The sequence below is a fragment of the Homo sapiens genome, chromosome 8 (assembly GCF_000001405.40).
Source record: "Homo sapiens chromosome 8, GRCh38.p14 Primary Assembly".
Taxonomy (NCBI): Eukaryota; Metazoa; Chordata; class Mammalia; order Primates; family Hominidae; genus Homo; species Homo sapiens.
This window is the reverse complement of record NC_000008.11, coordinates 70,762,327-70,780,824: the sequence shown is the minus strand read 5'-3', so window position 1 is coordinate 70,780,824 and position 18,498 is coordinate 70,762,327. Positions and strand designations below refer to the sequence as shown.

Genomic DNA, 18,498 nt, shown 5'->3' with positions numbered 1-18,498 from the left:
ATATGATGCAGGCACCAGTGAATTAATTTGACAGTTCCTTAAAAAGACAAACATAAAATTCTAATACCACCAAGTATATTAGTTTTCTGGGACTTCCATAATAAATTGCCAAAAATTAGATGGCTCTAAACAACAGAAACTTAGTCTCTCATAGTTCTGGAGGCTAGAAGCCCAAAATCATGCTGTCGGCAGTCATGCTTCCTCTGAAGGTTCTAGGGAAGAATTCTTCCTTGCCTCTTCAAGCTTCTAGGGGTTTTTGGAAATCCTTCGCTTTCCTGGCTTGTAGCTGGAAAACTTCCAAAATATGTGAAGACTGAACATTATGTTTCTATATAGTACATAAGTCAAAAAAATCATAAGGAACTTAGAAAGTATTTTGAACTAAAGAATAATGAGAACACAATATGCCAAAATTTGTGGGACCACCTAAAACAACGTTTTGAAGAAAATTTATAGCTTTAAATGGTTATATTAGAAAAGAATAAATGTTCAAAAATAAATTATCTAAACATCCAGCTTAAAGAGCTAGGAAAAGAAGGGCAAATTAAATGCAAAGTAAGAAATAATAAAAATTTAAGTGAAAAACAATAAAATGGAAGAGAAAAGAGAAAAATAAATTAAATATAAGCCAGTTCATGAAAAAGTACAATAAAATTGAAAAACCTTTAGATAAAAAAGAGAGAAAAGACAATTACTAATATTGAGATTAAAAGAAGAAATATCTCTATAACAGTAAATGCCCACAAGAGAAATAGGAAAAATCTAAAATCCACACCCTAACATCACAATTAAAAGAACTAGAGAAGCAAGAGCAAACAAATTCAAAAGCTAGCAGAAGACAAGAAATAACTAAGATCAGAGCAGAACTAAAGGAGATAGAGACACAAAAAAAACCTTCAAAAAATCAATGAATCCAAGAGCTGGTTTTTTGAAAAGATCAACAAAACAGATACACTGCTAGCAAGACTAATAAAGAAGAAAAGAGAGAAGAATCAAATAGACACAATAAAAGTGATTAAGGAGATATCACCACCAATCCCACAGAAATACAAACTACCATCAGAGAATACTATAAACACCTCTAAGCAAATAAATTACAAAATCCAGAAGAAATGGATAAATTCCTGGACACACACACCCTCCCAAGACTAAGCCAGGAAGAAGTCAAATCTCTGAATAGACCAACAACAGGTTCTGAAATTGAGGCAATAATTAATAGCCTACCAACCAAAAAAAGCCCAGGTCCAGACGGATTCACAGCCGAATTCTACCAGAGGTACAAAGAGGAGCTGGTACCATTCCTTCCGAAACTATTCCAAACAATAGAAAAAGAGGGAATCCTCCCTACCTCATTTTATGAGGCCAGCATCATCTTGATACCAAAGCCTGGCAGAGACACAACAACAAAAAAAGAGAATGTTAGGCCAATATCCCTGATGAACATTGATGCGAAAATCTTCAATAAAATAGTGGCAAACTGAATCCAGCAGCATATCAAAAAGCTTATCCACCACGAACAAGTTGGCTTCATCCCTGATATGCAAGGCTGGTTCAACATACACAAAGCAATAAACATAATCCATCACATAAACAGAACGACAAAAAACCACGTGATTATCTATTGAGAAATAGATAAGAAAAGGCCTTCGACAAAATTCAACAGTCATTCATGCCAAAAACTCTCAGTAAACTAGGTATTGATGGAACATATCTCAAAATAATAAGAGCTATTTATGACAAACCCACAGCCAATATCATACTGAATGGGCAAAAACGGGAAACATTCCCTTTGAAAACCAGTGCAAGACAAGGACACCTTCTCTCACCACTCCTATTCAACATAGTGTTGGAAGTTCTGGCCAGGGCAGTCAGACAAGAAAGAGAAATAAAGGGTATTCCATTAGGAAAAAAGGAAGTCAAATTGTCTCTGTTTGCAGATGACATAACTGTATATTTAGAAAACCCCATCGTCTCAGCCCAAAATCTCCTTAAGCTGATAAGCAACGTCAGCAAAGTCTCAGGATACAAAATCAATGTGCAAAAATCACAAGCATCCCTATACACCAATAACAGACAAACAGAGACCCAAATCATGAGTGAACTCCCATTCACAATTACTACAAAGAGAATGAAATACCTAGGAATCCAACTTACAAGGGATGTGAAGGACCTCTTCAAGGAGAACTACAAACCACTGCTCAGCAAAATAAAAGAGGACACAAACAAATGGAAGAACATTCCATGCTCATGGATAGGAAGAATCAATATCATGAAAATGGTCATACTGCCCAAAGTAATTTATAGATTCAATGCTATTGCCATCAAGCTACCACTGACTTTCTTCACAGAATTGGAAAAAAACTATTTCAAAGTCCATATGGAACCAAAAAAGAGCTCACATAGACAAGACAATCCTAAGCAAAAAGAACAAAGCTGGAGGCATCAGGCTACCTGACTTCAAACTACAATACAAGGTTACAGTAACCAAAACAGCATGGTACTGGTACCAAAACAGATATATAGACCGATGGCACAGAACAGAGGCCTCAGAAATAACACCACACATCTACAACCATCTGATCTTTGACAAACCTGACAAAAACAAGAAATGGGGAAAGGATTCCCTATTTAATAAATGGAAAACTGGGTAGCCATATGTAGAAAGCTGAAACTGTATCCCTTCCTTACACCTTATACAAAAATTAACTCAAGATAGATAAAAGACTTAAATGTAAGACCTAAAACCATAAAAACCTTAGAAGGAAACCTAGGCAATACCACTCAGGACATAGGCATGGGCAAGGACTTCATGACTAAAACACCAAAAGCAATGGCAACAAAAGCCAACATTGACAAATGGGATCTAATTTAACTAAAGAGCTTCTGCACAGCAAAAGAAACTATCATCAGAATGAACAGGCAACCTACAGAATGGAAGACCATGTTTGCCATCTATCCATCTGACAAAGGGCTATTATCCAGAATCTACAAAGAATTTCAACAAATTTACAAGAAAAAAAAACCTCATCAAAAATTGGGCAAAGGATATGAACAGACACTTCTCAAAAGAAGATATTTATGCAGCCAAGAGACATATGAAAAAAATGCTCATCATCACTGGTCATTAGAGAAATGCAAGTCAAAACCACAATGAGATACCATCTCATGCCAGTTAGAATAGCAATCATTAAAAAATCAGGAAATGACAGATGCTGGAGAGGAGGTGGAGAAATAGGAATGCTTTAACACTGTTGGTGGGAGTGTAAATTAGTTCAACCATTGTGGAAGACAGTGTGGCGATTCCTCAGGGATCTAGAACTAGAAATACCATTTGACCCAGCAATCCCATTACTGGGTATATACCCAAAGGATTATAAATCATGCTACTATAAAGACACATGCACACGTATGTTTATTGCAGCACAATTCACAATAGCAAAGTCTTGGAACCAACCCAAATGTCCATCAGTAATAGACTGGATAAAGAAAATGTGACACATATACACCATGGAATACTACGCAGCCATAAAAAAGGATGAGTTCATGTCTTTTGCAGGGACATGGATGAAGCTGGAAACCATCATTCTCAGCAAACTATCACAAGGACAGAAAAACAAACACCACATGTTTTCACTCATAAATGGGAGTTGAACAATGAGAACACATGGACATAGGGAGGGGAACATCACACAAGGGGGCCAGTCACGGGGTGGGGTCTGGGAGAGGGATAGCATTAGGAGAAACACCTAATGTAAATAACAAGTTGATGGGTACAGCAAACCAACATGGCACATGTATACCTATGTAACAAACCCACACATTCTACCTATGTACCTCAGAACTTAAAGTATAATACATACATATATATATATATATAGAGAGAGAGAGAGAGAGAGAGAGAAAGAAAGAGAAAACCTGCTAAATGCAAGGTACTGTGTTGATAAGAAGAATGTAATGGCAGGCCAGACAGATGATTCCTGCCCTCAGGCAGCTCCCAGTAATCAAAGGCATCAGTAAAATTATAAAGATTTCTTAATTTAAGGTGGCAGGAGAAGGCCCTTCTGACGAGGTGACAATTATGCTGAGATCTGAGGACTAAGGAGAGACAGCCATGAAGAGAGAGAACAGGTGGTACAGAGGCTGTCCTATCTCCATTCCTCCAGCCTACAAGGAGAACCTGGCTTTTCCCTGCAGCCAAGTGTCTGCCACTCACTGATCTGGAGGGAGTTGCAGGAGCTCAGAGGAGAACAGGCATTTAACTCCAGACAGCATTCAGAGTCTTATAGAAACCCCAGGGAGTTTATCACATCTAAGACCCTGATAGCATCTGTATTAGAAATAAGAATCCAACCAGACAGCTCATGAAAGATTAGCTTTAATTCTTTCAGAAGAGAAAATGGCTTATACCAAAAAACAGAAGAAATATCACTAAGATCCTACAGACACTTAAAAAAAGGTACTATTATTTAAATTTTTAAGTGAAAAAATGTTGATTGCTTAGTTGAAACAGACATATTCCTTGAAAGAATGAGTTACCAAAACTGATTCTAGAAGAGCAGAAAATCTGAATAACTCCCTTGTCAATTAAAGAAACTGTATTAGAATTAAGCCCTTCCTATAAATAAAATTCAAAACTCAGATGACTTCACTTGCAAAGAGTTTTAAAAAGAACTCTTTTAGAAAATAGAGGAAGAGAAACCATTTCTCAACTGATTTTGTGAAACAGGGCTTTCCCAATACCAATATGAGGCAAAAACATTACAAGAAAAGAAAAGACCAGGTTGGGGGCAGTGGCTTATGCCTGTAATCCCAGCAATTTGGGAGGCTGAGATGGGAGGATTGTTTAAGTACAGGAGTTTGAGATCAGGCAGGGCAAGATGGCAAGACCCCATCTCGACAAAAAAATTTAAAACTTAACCGAACATAGTGGCACACACTTGTGGTCCCAGCTACTCAGGAGGCTAAGGTGAGAGGATCACTTGAACCCAAAAAATCGAAGCTGCAGTGAGCCATGATTGCGCCACTGTAGTCTGGGCAACAGAGCAAGACTTAGACCTTGTCTCAAAAAAAAAAAAAATGACCAATATTCCCCATGTACGCAGAGGCAAAAATCTTTAATAAAAGTGCAAGCCAATTAAATCCATTAATACATAAAAGGTATAATACATCATGTCCAAGTGTGGTTTTCTCAAGAATACAAGGTTGGTATAATATTTGAAAATAATATAATCCACCATACTAACCAAATTAAAAAGATATCAGAGCATCTCAATAAATGCAGAGAAAGCATTTGACAAAATTCAACACTCATTCATAATTTTAAAATCTCAGAAAACTGGGACTAGAAGAAAACCTGAGAAAGAGTATCTACTAAATATCTACAGCTAACATCATGCTTAATAGTATGATATTACACTATTTCAGTAGTAGTGAAGACAAGGCAAAGATATCTGCTGTAACTTCTGTTTCACGTTGTGTTTGAGGTTGTACTCAAGAAACCATGCAAGAAAAGAAATAAAAATCATACTACTTGGAAAAAAAGAGCCAAAATTGTCTTAATTTGCAAGACATGACTGTACATAAAAAATACCAAAAAATTTACCCAAAAAGTGACTAGAATTAAGAACCAAACTTAGCAAATTTGCAGGATACAAAATCAATATGCAAGACTCAGTTATGTTGATATATCCCAGCATAAACAATTAGAAGATGAGATTTAGAAAATAATACTATTTACAGTAACATAAAAATGAGATATTTAGGGATAAATTTAATAAAATATGTACACTGAAAATTATAAAACATGGCTGAGAACAATTAAAGACCTGTGTAGATGAAAGATATTGGGAAACTCAATAAAATTGATCCAAAGATTCAATACAGTCCTAATCAAAATTCTATCAGGTTTTTTCTAAAAGGTAAAAACTTGATTATAATATTTATATGGAAATAAAAGAGACATATAACAGTAAAAACAATTTTGAAAAAGAACAAAGTTGCAGGGCTTGCAATATTTATTTGAATATTTATAGTTATATTTTTCAGAACAGTGTGCACTAGCCTAAGGATAGACAAATAAAATAGACAGCCCAATAATGGACCATTGCATATAGGGTCAATTTATTTTTTACAAAGATACCAATAATTTGATGGGGAGAGGACAGTCTTTTCAACAAACTATGCTGGAACAACTGGAAATCCATATGGGAAAAAGTGAAACTAAACACTTATCTCATACTACACACACAAAAAGAACACCCCAAATGGCCTATAGATCTAAATGTTGAATATATAGAGCTTCCAGAAGAAAACAAAGGAGAAAATCTTTAAGACTGAAGGGTAGGCAAATATTGACTTGGTTTGGCCAATAAAACACAAATGAAGCGAGGTGCAGTGGCTAGTCCCTGTAATTCCAGTGTCTCTAGAGGCTGAGGTGAGTGGATGGGAGGATTGCTTGAACCCAGGAGTCCAAGACCAGCCTAAGCAACATAACAAGACCCCATCTCTGAAAAATATTAAATTGTTAAAAAATTAAATTAAATTTGAATGAATTATATCACTTCAGGGTGGAAGCTTTAAGAGATAGCACATAATTTACTGTTTTCCTTTTTCTACGCAATCATGAAAGTATCGGTTGAAGTAGAATCTCTGTCAACCTGTATCCCTAAGTGTATATGACAGACACTGCCAATAATTTCTGGACATGTAGCATGGGTGAGAATTAAGTATTTATTGTGTTACATCATGAGATTTGGGCATTCTTTGTTCTGAAGTATGACCTCAAGGAAGGGATGGATGTTCTGTTAAAGGTGACTTGTACAAAGAAAAATTGAAAAGTATTAAAAAATGATGCCAACAGATTGCTGTGAAACTGTTTCCAGTGAACATTGCTCTAGATTTTAAATCTCCATACTTTTAATCTACATGAAGATGACCCTATTCTAACAGCCAATCCATGCCTCCTTACTAAACCTAACAAAGATTACAAAGAAATGAAGAGTCCATTCCAACCAACTGGCTTAAGAACAAGTTAAATGGCCCTAATTCACCCTGGACTTTGATTCCAAATATTACAATGACACACTCATTTTGTTGATTCATTGCCTTCATAGGAAGCAAATAAATCAGTGTTTTTGACCCTGAACACTTCCCCCTTTTAACTGGCAAATGGAAGTTAGAAATGGTATGCCAACATTTCACCATGAAGCTATCAGTTTCCTTCCCAAAGTCTGATCCATACACATCATAAAAGATTAACACACAAAAGTTAATCCAAGTGTTTCTCCCCTTTCCCAAAATGTACATGTTGAGGCCACTTTACAACAACCAAGATCATCCAATTTTGCATGTGGAGCTTGTTAAAAGCTTAGCCAAGAGAAAAGACAGCCTGAAGGGAAGTAAAAAAGTTGTGTTGCTCTATGCTCTATGACCATGGCCAGTAGATTGTATTCAAATTAGCCTCTTGCAGGCAGAATCCATCATTGACAGAACCAATTTGTTAACGCATAATCTCTGACTTAATTAAGCCATAGGCCTGCTTCCCTGCATATCCATATCTGTAAACATGCCAAATAATAATCCTGTTTTGGTTGGGCAACCTGAACTAAAAATCCCTCAAAGACACTTGTAAACTGCTTACCTTGCCATATCTGCCAGATCTTTTTATAACCACTGAAAGAATGCACTGGCTTTCCTGAACACTCAGTAATCAAAATATTGGAGCCTTTTACAAAGTGACAAGACTTGTGCTACAGTATGATTATATAATATGTTTATCACAAATATACATCTACATTACATGTATAAATAAACTTTTAATTTAATATTTTCATGACCTATTGATTTCCCAACAAGCCAATGGACATAGCATTTTAAAGATAATGTTCAAAACACTTTTCGACTGAAACCAACAATGCTTTATCCTTGCCATTAAAACTCTATAAACTTTTATACCAAACACTCCCCTTTACTTTACACCTAACTAGAAAATTGGGAAGACAAACATTTGGCAAGTCCTAAAAAGCAAAGACTTGCAACACATGAATTAGAAATCAAGAAGCTAATTTTTCTGTTCATCTTTTCAAAAGGTCTTTTAATTTTTTTTAACATTTCTACATAAATATAATAATTTTTAAAAGTTGCCATGGTATTTCACGACGATGGTATGAGCACAAGATACCACAATAAAGAGAACTACAATGCATCAAAATGAAACCTTACACAGTATTCATTTCTAAACTCCTGTCAATGTCACAAATGTTATAAGATTCCTGGCTTGTTAGCTAGTGAAAGATATAATAACCAAGGCATTTCATGGTGTTTTAAACTAGATTGGATTGCCAAGAAATCTACTTCTCCCCCAACTGCTCCTGTCTATTATTAAATCGGGCTGTTCAAAATCACTGTAGGGTCAACACAAATGGAAATTCAAATCTTTAGGCTCCTTTGTCATGGAATATTGTCCCAAACATATATCACTAAAAAGAGAGGTGCATCTTTTCCTGTGTGTTCTCTTTCACAAATCTTCTGTTCAGAGATCAGCAAATATCCAGACAGACGGCAAACATGTGTTAAACATTTACAGCATTCCAGTTATCATGCTAGACTCCTGACACAGAAGTGAATAAGATACAATCCTGATCTCAAGTTGTTTATATTCTAGTAAAGAAAATGCATTTTAATTATGCAAAGATAATACATTCTCAAGGTGTTAATGGTATTAATTTATCAGGTATAATGCAAGTCTGGTACTTGGATGGACCATCTCAAATAAAATTTAACTATAAAAGTATTCAAAAGTGTATTACACATGGCAGGAAAAACATTTTTCTTTTCTATGTTTTATTTTGTTTATCTAAATCTCATGTAGAAAATTTTCCTGGGATTTTTAATAAACCAATTTTAATTAATTTTTCAAAAGTAATCCTTCCAGAAATTTTGTCAATATCTACAATTCTCTTATTGCCATACTCTAAAAGATTCATGCTACAACAGGATTGGATCATCTGCTTCACCCAAACCTCAAGAAACAGCTTGACAAGTGAGACTGGGTTCTCAAGAGGTCAAGCTACAAGATATCATTAGTGGACAGAGTTAAGGAACATTTCAGCTATTACCACCCTACCAAAGAACATAGGCCACATTTTCTTTTGATCTAGACAAACCCAATCTTCAATTAATGTCATATGCAAGCTAGAATGACTAAAACAGTCACTTGATCCCTGGGGAAAAAAGCATAATATTTTTTGAAGTATATTAACAGGCCTGTCCCTTTTACATTCCTTACAGACATACTAAGGTATCCATCTTCCTTGGAAAGTGAGGTGAATAGATCAGTGTTGTTGCCCCATTAATATAAAGAGAAAAAAATTTAGTAATCACTTGGACCACAAAATAAAAATTTCAAGTCAATAAGGATAAAAAACAGTCTTGAAAGTCAGGCTTTGTAAAAATAACTTTCTAGATGGCCGAATAGGAACAGCTCCAGTCTGCAGCTCCCAGAGACCAATGCAGAAGGCAGGTGATTTCTGCATTTCCAACTGAGGTACCAGGTTCATCTCATTGGGACTGGTTAAGCAGTGAGTGTAGCTCACAGAGGGTAAGCTGAAGCAGGGTGGGGTGTTGCCTCACTAGGGAAGCACAAGGGGTCAGGGAACTCCGTCCCCTAGCCAAGGGAAGCTTTGAGGGACTATGCCATGAGGGACAGTGCTATCCAGCCCAGATACTATGCTTTTCCCACGGTTTTTGCAACCCACAGAACAGGAGATTCCCTCAGGTGCCTACACCACCAGGGCCCTGGGTTTCAAGCACAAAACTGGGCTGTCATTTGAGCAGACACCAAGCTAGCTGCAGGAGTTTTATTTCTGTACCCCAGTGGTGCCTGGAACCCCAGCAAGACAAGAAGCATTCACTATCCTGAAAGGCAGCTAAGGCCAGGGAGCCAAGTGGTGTTGCTAAACAGGTCCCACCCACACAGATCCCAACAAGTTAAGATCACAGGCTGGAAATTCTCACTGCCAGCACGCAGTCTGAAGTCCACCTGGGACACTCCAGGTTGGTGGGGGGAGGGGTGTCCACCATTACTGAGGCTTGAGTAGGCAGTTTTCCCCTCACAGTGTAAACAAAGCCACTGGGAAGGTCAGGCTGGGCAGAGCCCACCTCAGTGCAGCAAAGCTCCTGTAGCCAGATTGCCTCTCTAGATTCCTCCTCTCTGGGCAGGGCCTCTCTGAAAGGAAGACAGCAGCCCCAGTCAGGGGCTTACAGATAAAAGTCCCATCTCCCTGGGACAGAGCACCTGGAGGAAGATGCGGCTGTGGGTGCAGCTTCAGCAGACTTAAACGTTCCTGCCTGCCGGCTCTGAAGAGAGCAGCATATCTCCCAGCACAGCGCTCAAGCTCTGCTACAGACAGACTGCCTCCTGACTGAAAGAGACCTCCGAGCAGGGGTCGACAGACACCTCATACAGAAGAGCTCCAAATGGCATCTGGCGGGTGCTCCTCTGGGATGAAGATTCCAGAGGAAGGAGCAGGCAGCAATCTTTGCTGTTCTGCAGCCTCCACTGGTGATGCCCAGGAAAACAGGGTCTGGAGTGGACCTCCAGCAAACTCCAGCTGATCTGCAGAAGAGGGGACTGATTGTTAGGAGGAAAACTAGCAAACAGAAAGCAATAACATCAACATCAACAAAAAGGACACACATGCAAAAACTCAATCCAAAGGTCCTCTGCATTAAAGAGCAACAGTAGATAAATCCATGATGAGGAGGAAAAAACAGCACCAAAAGGCTGAAAATTCCAAAAACCAGAATGCATCTTCTCCTCCAAAGGATCACAATTCCTCGCCAGCAAGGGAACACAACTGGATGGAGAATGAGTTTGACGAATTGACAGAAGTAGGCTTCAGAAGGTGGGTAATACCAAACTCTTCCAAGCTAAAGAAGCATGTTCTAACCCAATGCAAGGAAGCTAAGAACCTTGATAAAAGGTTACAGGAAATGCTAACTAGAATAATCAGTTTAGAGAAGAACATAAATGACCTGATGAAGCTGAAAAACACAGCATGAGAACTTTGTGAAGCACACACAAGTATCAAGAGTCAAATCGATCAAGCAGAAGAAAGGATATCCAAGATTGAAAATCAAATTAATGAAATAAAGGATGAAGACAAGATTAGAGAAAAAAGAATGAAAAGGAACGAATGAAGCCTCCAAGAAATATGGGACTACATGAAAAAACCAAACGTACAATTCATTGGTGTACCTGAAACTGATGGGGAGAATGGAACCAAGTTGGAAAACACACTTCAGGATATTATCCAGGAGAACTTCCCCAATCTAGCAAGCCAGGCCAACATTCAAATTCAGGAAATACAGGGAACATCATTAAGATACTCCTCAAGAAGAGCAACCACAAGACACATAATTGTCAGATTCACCAAGGCTGAAACAAAGAAAAAAATGTTAAGGGCAGCCAGAGAGAAAGGTCAGATAACCCACAAAGGGAAGCCCATCAGACTAACAGCGGATTTCTCTGCAGAAACCCTACAAGCCAGAAGACAGTGGGGGCCAATATTCAACATTCTTAAAAAAAAAAAAAAAAGATTTTTCAACCCAGAATTTCATTTCCAGCCAAAATAAGCTTCAGAAGTGAAGAAAAAATAAAATCCTTTACAGTCAAGCAAATGCTAAGGGATTTTGTCACTACCAGGCCTGCCTTACAAGAGCTCCTAAAGGAAGCACTAAATATGGAAAGAAAAAACAGGTACCAGCCACTATAAAAACATACCAAAATATATAGACCAACGACACTATGAAGAAACTGCATCAACTAATGTGCAAAATAACCAGTTCGCATCATGATGACAGCATCAAATTCACACATAACAATATTAACCTTAAATGTAAATGGGCTAAATGCCCCAATTAAAAGACACAGACTGGCAAAATGGATAGAGTCAAGACCCATCGGTGTGCTGTATTCAGGAGACCCATCTCATGTGCAAAGACACATATAGGCTCAAAATAAAGGGATGGAAGAATATTTACCAAGCAAATGTAAATCAAAAAAAAAAAAAAGCAGGGGTTTCAATCCTGTCTCTGATAAAACAGACTTTAAACCAACAAAGATCAGAAAAGACAAAGAAGGGCATTACTTAATGGTAAAGGGATCAATGCAACAAGAAGAGCTAACCATCCTAATTATATATTTGCCCAATACAGGAATACCCAGATTTAAAAGGAAGTTTTTAGAGACATACTAGACAATAATAGACTTAGACTCCCACACAATAATAGTGGGAGACTTTACACTCCACTGTCAATATTAGACAGATCAATGAGACAGAAAATTAACAAGGATATTCAGGCCTTGAACTCAGCTCTGGACCAAGAGGACCTAATAGACATCTACAGAACTCTCCACCCCAAATCAACAGAATATATATTCTTCTCACCACCATGTAGCACTTATTCTAAAATTGACCACATAATTGGAAGTAAAACACTTCTCAGCAAATGTAAAAAATGGAAATCATAACAAACAGTCTCTCAGACCACAGTGCAATCAAATTAGAACTCAGGATTAAGAAACTCACTCAAAACCACACAACTACATGGAAACTGAACAACCTGCTCCCGAATCACTACTAGGTAAATAACAAAATTAAGGTAAAAATAAATAAGTTCTTTGAAACCAATGAGAACAAAGAAACAATATACCAGAATCTCTGGGACACAGCTAAAGCAGTGTTTAGTGGGAAATTTATAGCACAATGCTCACATCAGAAAGCAGGAAAGATCTAAAATCAACATCCTAACATTTCAATTAAAGAACTACAGAAGCAAGAGCAAACAAATTCAAAAGCTAGCAGAAGACAAGAAATAACTAAGATCAGAGCAGAACTGAGGAGAGAGAGACATGAAAAACCCTTCAAAAAATTAATGAATCCAAGAGCTGGATTTTTGAAAAGATTAACAAAATAGATAGGCCACTAGCCTGACTAATAAAAAAGAAAAGACAAAAGAATCAGGCTGGGTGCGGTGGCTCATACCTGTAATCCCAGCACTTTGGGAGGCTGAAACAGGCAGAAAACGAGGTCAGGAGATCAAGACCATCCTGGCTAACACAGCGAAACCCCATCTCTATTAAAATTACAAAAACAAAAATTAGCCAGTCATGGTGGCGGGCACCTGTAGTCCCAGCTACTTGGGAGGCTGAGGCAGGAGAATGACGTGAACCCAGGAGGCAGAGCTTGCAGAACCAAGATCATACCACTGCACTCCAGTCTGGGCGACAGAGCGAGACTCCATCTCAAAAAAAAAAAAAAAAAAAAGAAGGAAAAGAGAGAAGAATCAAATAGACAGAATAAAAATGATAAAGGGGGTATCACCACTGATCTCACAGAAATACAAACTACCATCAGAGAATACTATAAACACCTCTACGCAAATAAATTACAAAATCTAGAAGAAATGGATAAATTCCTAGACAGATACACCCTCCCAAGACTAAGCCAGGAAGAAGTCAAATCCCTGAATAAACCAATAACAAGTTCTGAAATTGAGGCAATAATTAATAGCCTACCAACCAAAAAAATCCCAGGTCCAGACGGATTCACAGCCGAATTCTACCAGAGGTACAAAGAGGAGCTGGTACCATTCCTTCTGAAACTATTCCAAACAATAGAAAAAGAGGGACTCCTCCCTAACTCATTTTAAGAGGCCAGCATCATCCTGATACCAAAACCTGGCAAAGACACAACAAAAAAAAGAAAATTTCAGGACAATATCCCTGATGAACATTGATGTGAAAAATCCTCAATAAAATAGTGGCAAATTGTATCCAGCAGCACATCAAAAAGCTTATCCACCACAATCAAGTTGGTTTCATCCGTGGGATGCATGGTTAGTTCAACATACACAAATCAATAAACATAATTTGTCACATAAACAGAACCAATGACAAAAACCACATGATTATCTCAATTGATGTAGAAAAGGCCTTCAATAAACTTCAACACCCCTTCATGCTAAAAACACTCATGAAACTAGGTATTGATGGAACATATCTCAAAATAATAAGAGCTATTTATGACAAACCCACAGCCAATATCATACTGAATGGGCAAAAGCTGGAAGCATTCCCTTTGAATGCTGGCACAAGACAAGGATGCCCTCTCTCACCACTCCAATTAAACATAGTATTGGAAGTTCTGGCCAGGGCAATCAGGCAAGAGAAAGAAATAAAGGGTATTCAAATAGGAAGACAGGAAGTCAAATTGTCTGTGTTTGCAGATTATATGATTGTATATTTAGAAAACCCCATCATCTCAGTCCCAAAACTCCTTAAGCTAATAAGCAACTTCAGCAGTCTCAGGATACAAAATCAGTGTGCAAAAATTACAAGCGCTCCTATACACAATAATACACAGAGTCAAATCATGAGTGAACTCCCATTCACAGTTGCTACCAAGAGAATAAAATGCCTAGGAATACAACTTACAAAGGATGTAAAGGACCTCTTCAAGGAGAACTACAAACCACTGCTCAAGGAAATAAGAGAGGACACAAACAAGTGGAAGAACATTCCATATTCATGGGTAGAAAGAATCAATACCATGAAAATGGCCATACTGCCCAAAGTAATATATAGATTCAATGCTATTCCCATCAAGCTACCACTGAATTTCTTCACAGAATTAGAGAAAACTACTTTAAGTCTCATATGGAACCAAAAAAGAGCCCATATAAGCCAAGACAATCCTAAGCAAAAAGAACAAATCTGGAGGCATCACACTACCTGACTCAAACAATACTACAAGGCTATAGTAACCAAAACAAGAAGACTGTTACCGAAACAGACATATAGAACAATGGAAGAGAACAGAGGCCTCAGAAATAACACCACACATCTACAACCATCTGATGTTTAACAAACCTGACAAAAACAAGCAATGGGGGAAAGAATTCCCTATTTAATAAATGGTGCTGGAAAAACTGGCTAGCCATATGCAGAAAACTGAAACTGGACCCCTTCCTTACACCTTATGCAAAGATTAACTCAAGATGGATTCAAGACTTAAATGTAAGACTTAAAGCCATAAAAACCCTAGAAGAAAACCTAGGCAGTACCATTCAGGACATAGGCATAGGCAACGACTTCATGACTAAAACATCAAAAGCAACTGCAACGCAAGCCAAAATTGAAAAATGGGATGTAATTAAACAGCTTCCACACAGCAAAAGAAAGCAGAGTGAGCAGGCAACCTACAGAACAGGAAAGCGAACATCATCATAGTAAACAGGCAACCTACAGAATGGGAGAAAATTTTTGCAATATATCCATCTGACAAAGGGATAATATCCAGAATTTATGAGGCACTTAAATTTACAAAAGTCCATTAAAAAGTGGACAAAGATATGAACAAACACTTCTCAAAAGAAGACATTTTTGCAGCCAACAAACATGATAAAAAGCTCATCATCACTGGTCATTAGAGAAATGCAAATCAAAACCACAATGAGATACCATCTCACGCCAGTTAGAATAGTGATCATTAAAAATTCAGGAAACAGCAGATGCTGAAGAGGATGTGGAGAAATAGGTACGCTTTTACACTGTTGGTGGGAGTGTAAATTAGTTCAACCATTGTGGAAGACAATGTGGTGATTCTTCAAGGATCTAGAACCAGAAATATCATTTGACCCAGCAATCCCATTACTGGGTATATTCCCAAAGGATTATAAATCATTCTACTATAAAGTCACATGCACATGTATGTTTATTGCAGCACTATTCACAACAGCAAAGACTTGGAACCAACCCACATGCCCAACAATGATAGACTGGATAAAGAAAATGTGACATTTATACACCATGGAATACTATTCAGCCATAGAAAAAGAATGAGTTCATGTCTTTTGCAGGGACATGGATGAAGCTGGAAACTATCATTCTCAGCAAACTAACACAGGAACAGAAAACCAAACACCGCATGTTCTCACTCATAAGTGGGAGTTGAACAACAAGAACACATGGACACACGGAGAGGAACATCACACACCAGGGCCTGTCAGGGGGTGGGAGGCAAGGGGAGGGATAGCATTAGGAGAAATATGTAATGTAGATGACGGCTTGATGGGTGCAGCAAACCACCATGGCACATGTATACCTATGTAACAAACCTACACATTCTGCACATGTACCCCAGAATTTAAAGTATAATAAAACAAAATAATATTCTAAATTTTTTATCCCCCTCTTTAACAAATGAAGAGGCAGATCTGGTCATCTTAATCATAGACTTTCATATAGAAGAAGTCCAAACAAGACAGAAAGAAATGTGAAAGCTTATTCTTTTCTTTGCCAGTGCACTTTGGGAAGAGAAGGAAAACAGAGAGAGAGAAAGCAGCAAAAGAACAAGTACATTTTCTGACCTACCCTCTCCAAGCTGAAGTTCCAGAGAGGAGAAACTTTTATATAAGATGAAAGGAATGTTGAGAGTAAAAGAGGTTTTTGGCCCTTTGGGACTCCATTGCAAAACTGCTGTGCAAGACAAACCTGTACTAATATGGTACAGTCCCAGCAGAGTAAAGAGGGCAGAGAAGGAAAGTCGAGCAGAAAAGGCCTAATTGTCATTATTATCTCTCATTTGGTGGAGTAAACCTAAAGTTTTCCACATATCCCTAAGAAAAGAATGAGAAGATCCCAAGACAGCAGTCATGACATAGGTTATCTCATAATGGGAAGCAAGGAGAGCTCATCAATAAGGCTATAGACTCAAAACTATCTGCAGTATGTGGCTAAAAACTTGAGACAGACGCAGCATCAGTGAGAGTCAAGGTAAATCCATGTCACACAGGTTGGACTACAAGGGCCTGAAAAATCTGAATCTAAAGTTCTGTCAGGAATTATATCATTTGCAGACCTAGAGGCAGATGCCAATATATTGCCTAGGAATACAGTCTACTAATCCAGCTCAACAGTTATCAGTAATTTTATACCCAAGGACCAGCAACAAGGCCAGGGTATAAGTTCCCCTCCACCAGTACATTTGAATAATAATTTGAAGAGGAGCAACACCACTGTTTGCATTTCTGCTTCAAATAGGGGAGGGACACAATTCACTGCCCTTATATCTACTATAATATGAAAGGGAAAAAAATAATTTTTTCAGAAATTAGTTTTAGATCTGCTTTTTAATTTGAAATTTCCTTTTAAGCCAAGAAGTTCAAACACCTATAAACTGAATATATACATTGTTTATGGAAATGATGTATTATAAATAGAAGAATTACATTAATGAGAACTGCCAAAGGCCAAAGCAGCCAACCATGAATTCTCAAATTCTATTTCAGTTGAAGTCCACAGGGGGATTCTTACCTCACACCCAGATCTCTAGGAATGCTAAAAAGCAGCAGAACATCAACTCACAGACACCTTAGAGTTATCTGAAAAAAGTTAGCTGGATGATCCCTGCTCTATTCTACAAAGGCCAAAAGAGTCCACAAACATGTGAACTAAGTAAGCAAGGCCACTGCCTCACGATATTTTTTCAAAAGTAACCATCATGCTTCTGAAGTAGAGTGAATCACATTCTACCCACAGATGTATTGAGCTCTGACTCAAATTCTAGGCAGAGACTATACTATCAAAGACCCCTTAATCCATTTTATAGTCCACAGTTTTCCCTCTTTTCATCCCTTTCTCACAGACTACAGCCTGAGATTCCTTTTTGTTTAGATCATATAAATGGTAGGAATTACTATATAATTAAATCATTTTTTATATCCTCTAGTCACAAAATTATTCAGGATCTGGTCACAAGGCTATTAGATCAACCTTCCTTTACCAAAAAATCCACCACATACAATTCATGATTTCAATAGTGTCTCTATATATTTTGTTGGAGGAATAACAAAAGGATGAAAAACCTATTTCTGCTTTGTAACACAAATAAATAAAGCTCATTGAGTTTTACAGCAGACTTGAAAACATTACTAGTAGCCGAATTATTAAGATTTGGGAACTACAAGGGTCCCTTAAATTTAGGGATATCTTATTTATCTTTAGGACATCAGTGGCTAGCACTGCACCTAGAACAAAATTAGTTCTCTTTAAATATTTGTTGACATGAACAGCTGAAACTAACCTCTTTATATATTATTATTTTCAAAAAATACCATAACTTAAGATGACTGCATTACTGAACAGAAAGAATGACACTTTAAATAAATTCCATGGATGCAGGTGAGGTGAGGGAATGGTTTCAGGATAACATTGTTCCACCTTAGATCATCTGGCGTTAGATTCTCATAAGGAGCAGACAATCTGGATCTGTTCACAATATGGTTCATGCTCCTATGAGAATCTAATGCTGTGGCTTATGGGACAGAAGGTGGAGCTCAGGTGGTAATGCTCACTTGCCCTCTGCTCACATCCTACTGTGCAGCCCAGTTGCTAATATGCCACGAACTGGCAGTCCGTTGCCCAGGGGTTGGTGA

The 18,498-nt window shown here is 37.8% G+C and overlaps 1 protein-coding gene across 1 annotated transcript in view, besides 1 other annotated feature; it reads right to left on the bottom strand.

Annotated features, from left to right (window-relative positions):
• XKR9 (XK related 9) overlaps window positions 1–18,498 on the bottom strand; it is a 396,467-nt gene that overhangs the window by 284,981 nt on the left and 92,988 nt on the right. The window lies entirely within an intron of this gene.
• Window positions 4,606–4,655: an enhancer, noted in NCBI's record as "active region_27511". NCBI's record gives its function as "activates an Ori minimal core promoter by ATAC-STARR-seq in GM12878 lymphoblastoid cells {active_cell/tissue: GM12878}" and the evidence as "EXISTENCE:reporter gene assay evidence [ECO:0000049][PMID:35858748]".